The 10,226-nt window shown below is 48.6% G+C and overlaps 1 protein-coding gene across 3 annotated transcripts in view; it reads left to right on the top strand.

Moving 5' to 3' along the window:
* The first annotated feature begins 752 nt into the window (after positions 1 to 752).
* Positions 753 to 10,226, top strand: part of CREG2 (cellular repressor of E1A stimulated genes 2) — a 41,954-nt gene continuing 32,480 nt past the window's right edge. The window contains exons 1-3 of one of the 3 annotated variants that reach the window (XM_011510777.3): positions 753 to 1,239; positions 4,554 to 4,723; positions 5,566 to 6,696. In XM_011510777.3, the coding sequence (XP_011509079.2) occupies positions 799 to 1,239; positions 4,554 to 4,723; positions 5,566 to 5,581 (627 nt within the window). In that variant the 5' untranslated portion in view covers positions 753 to 798 and the 3' untranslated portion in view covers positions 5,582 to 6,696. Of the gene's footprint in view, positions 1,240 to 4,553; positions 4,724 to 5,175; positions 6,697 to 10,226 lie in introns of those variants that run through there. The other 2 variants (XM_017003565.2, NM_153836.4) reach the window with 2 other exon arrangements.

Below are 10,226 nucleotides of genomic sequence, written 5' to 3'. Positions count from 1 at the left end.
AGAGCAAGACCCTTTATCAGAAAAATAAAAAATAAAAAAGGGTGATTGCATCTGTACTGAACATATATTGGCTTTTTTTCTTGTTCTATTCCCTAAACAATACAGTAAACAACAATTTACATAGTGTTTACATTGTATTAGGCATTTTATAAGCAAATCAGATATTAAAGGAAGATGTGCATGGGTTATATGCAAATGCTGCACTATTTTTTTATAAGGGACTTCAGCATCTCTGGATTTTGGTATCCACGGGGGTCCTGGAACCAATACCCCTCGGATACCAAGGGACTGCTGTAGAGCGTTTGCTCCATGCCACACACTGTTCTAAGCCTCTTCAAATATTAATCGTTCAACCGTCCCATCCATCATCCTTAAGAGGTAGATATTATCTTTGTCAGCTAATGAAGGAAATGGGCACAGAGAGGTTAAGTGGCTTGGCAGGTCTCACAGCTGTTGAGCAGACGCGTGTATTAAGCCGGGATTTGAACGCCCACCCTCTGGCTGCGGAACCTGTGCCATCCTGCAGGAAACGAACCCATCCCGGGACCTGGCGCGCGAGGAGGACTCCGCAGGATGCGCGGCGTGTGCGTGGAACCTGGTCTTCTGCGAGCCTGGACTTCTGAGCTTCGCGCGCGGCTGCAGGGATTCGCCGGGACTCGCGCGGGGGACCGCGCCCGGGGATCCTGCAGGGGCGGGAAGGGGGCTCGGGCTCCTTGCTTCCGCCGCAGTGGGGCGCTGCCGGGCTCCCCGGCACTAGCGCTGCTGGCGGCCCCGGCGGCCGGGCGTGCTGCCTGCAAGATGTCCGTGCGCCGCGGCCGGCGGCCGGCGCGGCCGGGGACCCGCCTCTCCTGGCTGCTGTGCTGCAGCGCCCTGCTGTCCCCGGCCGCGGGCTACGTGATCGTGAGCTCCGTGTCTTGGGCCGTCACCAACGAGGTGGACGAGGAGCTGGACAGCGCCTCCACTGAGGAGGCTATGCCCGCGCTGCTAGAGGATTCGGGCAGCATCTGGCAGCAAAGCTTCCCCGCCTCTGCCCACAAGGAGGACGCGCACCTGCGGCCCCGGGCGGGCGCCGCCCGGGCCAGGCCGCCCCCCGCGCCACCCGGGATGTTCTCCTACCGGCGCGAGGGCGGCCAGACGGCCAGTGCGCCCCCGGGCCCTAGACTGCGCGCCGCCACCGCCCGCTCCCTGGCCCATGCCAGCGTCTGGGGCTGCCTGGCCACCGTGTCCACCCACAAGAAGGTGAGCGCCCGGCGGGGAGCGCGAGGGGGCCTGGCATTCAGGCGGCGGCCGGGGGACGGGGACAGGGACGTGCTCGCGACCGCTCGGGACTGAGATCCGGGTCCACCAGACGTGCCCGGTGCCCTGGATGGGACCCTCGACACTGTACATAATGGAAGGCGATGGTGCCTCCGTGAGCCTGGCGAAGTCGGGGGAGGGTCGGAGAGGGACATGGATAACCAGGTTTCCTGCCAGGTAGGGTTGGGTACCGAATCCCCACCTTGAGGTGGCCAGGCAGAGAGAGGGACACCTAACCAGCGTCCGACCGAGACCTAGACCAGAGCAGCCACAGACGCCTTTGGAATCGCAGAGTAGGCGGGGACAGCCCTTCCCAGCGCAGGGCACAAACCCATAGACCTGAACTCCCCATCACCTTCTGACCTGGAGCTGAAGCAGGGATGGGGAGAGAGAGAGCACGAGGGCTTCGATGGAAATCTGCATTTAAGAAAATGGAGTTCACGATTTTTTCTGGAAAGGAGGCTTATTATGCAAAGTGTGTAAATGCTGGAATGAGCTATTCGCTGCACTTTTAATTGTTCAGTTCGCAAATGCTTTACTCACCTGTTAGACATGATTCCACCTAGAATGACATGGATAAGTAATGCAGATGTAACTTCCATGCCTCCAGAAGGCTTTTGGGGGTTTTAAGAGAGATGAAAGAGCTACAAGGCAGTAATGTGAACTCCTCTTTACTTCCTACAAAAAAGAGAAATAATATTTTATGGAAGGCATAGGACATTGGCCAGGTTCTTGCCCCAGCTCTGGGTCTCACCAAGACTGTGGCCAAGTCACTGGCTTCTCCACTTTGCTTTCCTCGTCTATAAAATTAGGTTTAGTTTTTAAGGTCCTTTTTTGCTTAAAAACTACCTAAATGGCAACTTTATTTCGAGTTTGGCAATGGTCTTAACCTCTTCAGTGTCAAATGCAGATCCAGTTGGATATTCTCAACACCTAGATGATTTTTCACAGCTGTATCTTGCACTCCTAAGACACATCTTAAAAAGACATAAAGGTTAAAGATGACACTGATCTTAGTTGAAAACACAAATCTTTTCAAGAAATTAAATAGTCTCGTGCCAATGTATTAGAGATATTTTGACTTTCAATATCCCTTCTCTTAGCTTTGTTAGGAGTTCCTCTTTCTAATCCTTATTGACATTTGATTTAAACAATAAATTCAGACAGCATTTACACAATGTACTGCCATGGATGCAAAGCATGACTCTGGGCAGCTATGACAAGCTGAAAAATGGGATATATGAACAAAGTTATATCACCATTTTGGAAGATTCCTTAACGTTTCATGTTCCTGAAAAATTAAAGCCCTGCCTTTTATAATTCTACACACCATTATCATGCAACATTTCAAGGACAAAGACAACCCCTGAATTCTGAGCAAGTAACAACAAGGTGCACTTTGTTAGGGATAAAATCATGGAAAATTGGGATGCTTGACTGGAAGGATTTGGGAAAACCTCAGCACTAAATATTTTTGTTGGCCAGGCGTCGTGGCTCACACCTGTAATCCCAGCACTTTGGGAGGCCGAGGCGGGCAGATCACTTGAGGTCAGGAGTTCAAGACCAGCTTGGCCAACATGGTGAAACCCTGTCTCTACTAAAAATACAAAAATAGCCAGGCATGGTGGCATGCACCTGTAATCCCAGCAACTTGGGAGGCTAAGGCACAAGAATCGCTTAACCCAGGAGACGGAGGCTGCAGTGAGCCAAAATCGTGCCACTGAATGCCAGCCTGGGCAACAAACAGAGTGAGACTCTGTCTCAAAAAAATAATAATACTAATAAAATAAATAAATAAATATTTTTGTTTATATCTGCAGTCACAGAAACATGATATACCACCTGTCTTAGTCCATCTGTGTTACCGTAAACAAATACCTGAGGCTGGGTAATTTATAAAGAAAAGAGGTGTATTTGGCTCACAGTTCTGCATGCTGTTCAGAAAGCATGGTGCAGCATCTGCTTCTGGGGAGGCCTCAGACTGCTTCCACTCATGGTGGAAGGTGTAGAGCCAGTGTGTGCAGTGATCACATGGCAAGAAAGAAAGCAAGAGAGAGGGGAAGGTGCCAGGCTCTTTTTATTTTTATTTATTTATTTTATAGATGGGGTCTGGCTCTGTCACCCAGGCTGGAATGCAGTGGTGTGATCATAGCTCACTGCTGCCTCAAACTCCTGGGCTCAAGCAACCCTGCTGCCTCAGTCTTTCGAGTAACTGGGACTATAGATGTGTGCCACCATGCCAAGCTAATTTTTTAAAAAACTTTTTGTAGGGATGGGGGTCTCGCTATCTTGCCCAGGCTGATCCTGAACTGTTGGGCTCCCAAAATGCTAGGATTACAGGGTGAGTCCCCATGCCCAGTTGGCACCAGGCTTTTTTAAACCTTCTCTCAGGGGAACTCTCAAGGAAACTAACAGAGGGACAATTCACTCAGTACCTCAAGGAGGGCACCAAGCCATTCATGAGGGATCCACCCCCATGACCCAAACCCTTCCCACTTGGCCTCCCCTCCAACACCGGGGATCAGAATTTAACATGAGATTTGGAGGGATGGATATCCAAACTATGGCACCACCCTTCTCCCACCCTAGTGGGTGATCATGAAGAAAAATTGGCATATCATGTTTCTATGACTTCCTTTATGCAAAAAGGGTAACAAATCAATTTCTCATAACTTGCTGAGTCGTACAATGAAATATTATTGATTACAATAAAAAATGCAGCTAATAAATGAGAAAGTGATGCAGCCCTAAAAGAAACAATAATAGAAAGTTCCTGAAGTCCAGAGAGCAGGCAAGACGTTAAAGACTTAAACATCCTCCCTAAAGTTGCTCAAAACTTGGGACAGGCAGTTAACCTTGGGAGTTAAAGCGGTGGGGCTGTAACAGGCAGCTTGTGGAAAAGGCTTAGCACCACCTCCCATAAATGTCATTGTCCCTCCCCAAAAGAACATGAAATTTAACAAAGTGAGTATATCTGCCATGCACAGGCAGCTTCAAGAAGAATCCTTTCACCACCCCTTCCAAACAGGATGCCACTGCTGAGTATCTCCTGTGGAGAAATTCTAGAGCCACCACGGAGTGAATTGGGCAGACTGGGGACCACCTCACCTTGATTTACTACCTGTCAGAGCCACTGTGATGCCATGATCCCCCCTCATCCCTGGTGTTGTATTTCCTAGCCAGAGGCACAAGCTAAGCTCCCAGATCAAGTCGAGCCACAGCTCTGCACTGAAAAAGCCTTTTTTGGTGTTTGTTAGATCCAAGGACTGCCATTTGGGAACTGCCTGCCCGTCAGTGATGGCCCCTTCAACAATAGCACTGGGATTCCTTTCTTCTACATGACAGCCAAGGACCCCGTGGTGGCTGATCTGATGAAGAACCCCATGGCCTCGCTGATGCTGCCAGAATCAGAAGGGGAGTTCTGCAGGTAGACGACGGTTTGCCCTCACTCACACGGGTCCTGGGAAGTTTTTGACAGAGAGTTGGGGGTGGGTTTCTCTCTGGGTCACATGACTTTAACAGAACTCTGAGATGCACATTGATGTTCACCCTTGAAATCAGATAAATTAGAATTCCACCACTCACCAAGCAGTGTGCTTTGTAGCAAGTTAGTTGATCTTTGGGAGCCTCAGTTTCTTCATCTGTAAAATGGGAATAATAATCTTTGCCTCCGAGGGTTATTGCAAGTGCTGGAAATAGGTGTAAAATGCTTTGTGCAACACTGGCAGGAGTCCAGACAGCTCCTGTTGTTATGGAAAAGGGCGAGGGTGGGAGTGAGGGTTGGTAAAGGAAGAGCCAGTAGTTGATCTCCCCAGCACGGAGGCGTGCAACACAGAGTCTATATATTGTCTTTCCAATTTATTTCTATCCTGTCCCCAGAGATATGTGCAATAAGGAGCCAGCATTTTTTAATTCACTTTTTCAAAAGCTCTCTGAAAGAAAACACTTCTAAAGACATTTAAGCACTAACAGAACATTGATGCAGGCCCCTTTATCTGAATTCAAAATGCAAAGCCTGAACTCGCATCCTCCCCGGGAAATGTCTGCATGGAGCTGGTGTGGGAGCTGCATGTGAGATCCCCTCGTCCTTCCCAGAGGAGCAGCAAATGCCCAGGATGGCCTGGGGTGAGCCCTTTAACCTCCAGGACCTTAGTCACTCCACCTAAATGTAGTGATGCTTTAGAAAATCAACAGGCCTCATCCCATCTGTGAAATTCTATTATTCTTTATGCACAGCACGGAAAACATAATAACCAAACAATGTATTAGTTCTTACAGAGGCTAATCAAAGCAACTATACAATGCAAGATGCATCCTGGATAAGCCATTGTTTCCCCTCAGCCACGACAGACCACATGGAGACACTTCAGCTGACCCTGTTCCCCACCAGGTTACAGCAAGAAGCCAGGAAAAGAAACATTTCCTTTCTCATGGAATATTCTCCCTGTTCTTGGTCAGTCAAGCTTACTGTTACTAGAAGTACATTTCCAGGATACCTTTCTTTTCTTTTCTTACTCTTTTTTTTTTTTTTTCGAGATAGAGTTTCGCTCTTGTTTCCCAGACTGGAGTGCAGTGGCGCAATCTCGGTTCACTGCAACCGTGAACCTCTGCCTCCCAGGTTCAAGCAATTCTCCCTGCCTCAGCCTCCCAAGTAGCTGGGATTACAGGTGTCCACCACCACGCCTGGCTAATTTTTGTATTTTTAGTAGAGACAGGGTTTTGCCATGTTGACCAGGCTGGTCTCAAACTCCTGACCTCAGGTGATCCACCTGCCTCGGCCTTCCAATCCAGGATACCTTTCTAAGCTTCCCAGGCTTTCCTCATTCAGGTATCCTGAAAGCAGTCGTGCTGGAGCATGTGGCTCCCAGAACCCAGAGCACAGCCGCTCTGGGGACAGGCAACAGAATATATACTTGGGACAAAGCTGCGGCAGCACTCCAGCTGGGGGAGGATTTGTCAACTGGCAACCCCCAGGCAAATGGCAGCAGGAGCTGGAGCGAGGAGCAGTGAGAAATCTGACTTAGGAGAGGTCCTCATGGGGAGAGGATTTCAGGGTGACTTCCTTCAGTCCCTTGGGAAGACTTGCCTGCACAGCCTAGAGCCACGTATGCGGACCTTCTTCATGACAGGCCACATGTAGGACACGCAAACACCTGTGCAGCCCCCTGGCTAACTGGGTGAGGCAGCTCGAGGCTGGAGGTGAGCACCCCGGGGCCAAGGGCAAGAGCATCTCAGCATACCTGTTACTCTGGCCTGGGAGAGGAAGGATGAGACGCACTCATGGGTACCCCTTAGTTTATGTCTTCTTGTAAAACTGTTTCTCAGAACTGCTATACCCCTGACACTGTTTAAGCTTCTGAAGTATTGAAATATGATGTAAATAAATGCCTACAAAACCAAGTTTGGCCTTAGTAAGCATCACACTTCAATGCAAAGCTTACCAAGCAATGGGGCTTTTGTCACCCTAGGGTCTACGACTTCCCATAATCGGCGTAAGCCCAGATGTGACTCACCTGTGTGAGGTTCGCATTCCAAGTGGAGCTTTACATTTTAGGTTTCACCTTCAGAATCTTGGCAATACTGAACACAGGGACTTAACAAGTCAAAGCCATGTGGCTGGCATTGAAAAAGAGCCCCGAATAAACAAGCCAAGCAAGGGGTTCCTAGGGCCACTGGAATATAGCGAGGTATCTGGTAGAAGTGTCCGCAGCTACCCAAACACCTGGGTAGAGCTTCGAAGGACAGCCCGGCAAGGTACCAGCAAGGTGCCCCTCCTGCCTGTCGCCGGGCCTGAAGAGGTCTCCAGCAAAGGCAGAGATCGTCGTCACGTGCTTCAGAGCTTCACAGCATCTCCCACAGGAGCGGGGAGATTCAAGAAAGCGCCCATGTCTTACGATGATAACGACAGGTCAAGGCCACCTGCTCCTCTCAGCTTCAGAAGGCAGCTCATACTCAGAACAATGAAAACTGCCTTCCAGCCTGTGCACTGGAAAACTTGCAACAGCATTTTTTTTTTTGAGATGGAGTCTCACTCTGTCATCAGGCTGGAGTGCAGTGGCTCAATCTCAGCTCACTGCAACCTCCAGTTCCCTGGTTCAAGTGATTCTCCTGCCTCAGCCTCCCGAGTAGCTGGGATTACAGGCACATGAAACATGCCCAGCTAATTTTTGTATTTTTTTTAGTAGGGATGGGATTTCACCAGGTTGGTCAGGCTGGTCTTGAACTCATGACCTCAGGTGATCCACCTGCCTCAGCCTCCCACGCTTGGGATTACAGGCATGAGCCACGGCGCCCGGCCTGCAACAGCATTTTTAACCATCCCACGTGGTGTCTTCTGGGCGCTCCTATTCCTCTGTTAGTCTGTGCAGCTGGGGAGGGCGTGAGTCATCCCTGTTTCATCCCAAGGGGGAAGACAAAGCCAGAACTGGGCTTTACTGGACCATAAAGCAAGTCCTGACAGGGAGGAAGTTGGGAGGCCACTGACTTCTGAGGAAGGAAAAGGGGTGCCTTCGCGGCCGTTTCCTACAGCCTACTGGGCATCCCTGGGAGAGGGGGCATTTCAGCTGCAAGCCTGCCTCTGCGTTCATCAAGTTAGCCCCGGTTACTGCAGACTCTGCACCAGCATGGGCTAGTGAGCGCCATCTCCACCAAGGATACAGCCCGGGAGCAAGAAGCCTCCAACAACTGGGGCAAGAACAGCTCAGGCTTAGGGAGGGAGGAATGCAAGTCTGAGACTATTCCGAGGACAGGCTACTTTCAGAGCTCCCTTTGGTGCCAAACAATTGTATCTATAATGTGTACGTGTTTAATAAGCAGATACATAAATGGAAAAATAGATTATACATAGATAATAGATGATTGATGATAGATGGATGAATAGATAGATGAATGATGGATGGATGGATGGATGAATAGATGATAGATGAATGGATGGATAGATGATTGATAGATAGATAGATAGATAGATAGATAGATAGATAGATAGATAGAAGCTTTCACACATTCAACTCTTCTCTATTCAAAAGAGCGAATATTACAGTTGCCCCTGCTTGGTCTCCCCAGTCCACTCTTCATCATGTTGAATTCATCCCCAATCCAGCAGCTGGGATACTCTCTTAAAATCCAAATCAGATCCTGAGGAAAAGCAACAGAATCCTTAATATGGCCTAGGAGGCCCTTCATGGCCAGGGGCCTGCCTCCCTCTCAGAATAAATAGCGGTGTCTGCCTCTTTACTGATTGACTTAATATTTGATTTATACCTAGTTTTATCAAATTAAAAGCATCAACCTGATAGCTTGTTGTAGTCAAAGCTGATGTATGTTCTTTGGCATGGAGTTAAGAAAGTGCTTTTCCATTAGCAATCCCTGCATGTAGGTTGACAAGTCATGTCACTCAAAAATGATATTTAGATCCATTAACAGGCCTGTGTCTTAAAGATAAAGTTAGATCCAAGTTGAAATAGGTGAAGGACATTGAGTATCCATGGCTCCAGAAGTCTCAGGAAATTTAATGAAGAAAATGCTCAGCAGATGTAATTTCCTTAACCACAGCCGTGAGAAGCCAATATCTTGAGAATGATGAAAGGAATGAACAGCTCTTCATATTTTACAGCTTTCTAGGGACCTTAAAGAGTTTTTAAATGAATCTGTCAAGTCCAGCCTGGGCTAGTTCATCCCACCTAGTTAGGGATTTTTTCCAGATATTTTCATTGCCCTGATCCACAGTTCCCTGAACTTTCCCTAAAATGTCACAATAAAGTTCCTAGATTTAATGGGACGCAGTTGTCCTGACTCCCACCCCAGGGCATAATAATTGGGCATTATTGGCCTGCCCTTCTTTTTGGAGGAGATAATTTGGAAAGTGAATCTGACTGGATGATAAGTAGAATGTGACTTTCAGCTGGAAAAGTACTAGGTTGGTGATCTCTCCTTTTTCTTTTTTCTTTTTTTTTTTGAGATGGAGTCTCACTCTGTCGCCCAGGCTAGAGTGCAGTGGTGCAATCTCGGCTCACTGCAACCTCTGCTGCCCAGGTTCAAGCGATTCTCCTGCCTCAGCGTCCTGAATAGCTGGGATTACAGACACCCACCACCGTGCCCAGCTAATTTTTGTATTTTTAGTAGAGATGGGTTTCACCACCTTGGCCAGGCTGGTCTTGAACTCCTGACCTCGTGATCCCCCCGCCTCAGCCTCCCAAAGTGCTGCACCCAGCTAGGTTGGCGATTTCTGTGGAACAAAGTTGCTGGGCTAGAATGAAATACCCGGCCGGTTCAGGGTGTCACTTTTCCCACTGGTATGACGAAGAGGGGAGAGGCGGATATCTGAGGGCCCTCTGGCTCCATGGTTGACTGGAGGTAGGATACTCCAAGAATGGTGAAGAAGGAATAGGTGAGCACAGCCATCACGGCTGATATAGATTTGATATATAGATTTCTACATAGACTGTTATAAAGTGCGAACTCCTGCAAATTTAGAGTAGAAGAGTGACTTCCAACTGCCTGAAGGGCAAGGATGAGAGGGACGTATTATTGGCCTGGACAGCTTGCCCCTCCCCTAGGACCTCTTAGGGGAAGCAGCACCCAAGTGATGCTAACGCTGCTTTAGGATAATGAGGACATTTAAGCCGGTCTTATATGCATTTCCTGGGTTTCCAGTAAAGGCTACTAAGAACTGTGATTTAGGCCCAGGATGGCTTAAGTCATTTGTAAAATGAAGTCAAGATTAGAGTCTGACAGAAAGACAAATCCCGCATGATCTCACTTATATGTGGAATCTAAATAAGTCGACTCATAGAAGCAGACAACAGAATGGTGGTTCCCAGGGACCAGGCGAGAGAGGGGAATGGGGAAATGTTGATTACAGGGTGCTGACTTTCAGTTAGAAGACAAACACGTTCTGGGGATCTAACGTACAGCATGGGTTGGATGTGTGA

The sequence above is a fragment of the Homo sapiens genome, chromosome 2, assembly GCF_000001405.40.
Source record: "Homo sapiens chromosome 2, GRCh38.p14 Primary Assembly".
NCBI lineage: Eukaryota > Metazoa > Chordata > Mammalia > Primates > Hominidae > Homo > Homo sapiens.
This window is presented reverse-complemented; position numbering and strand designations above follow the sequence as displayed.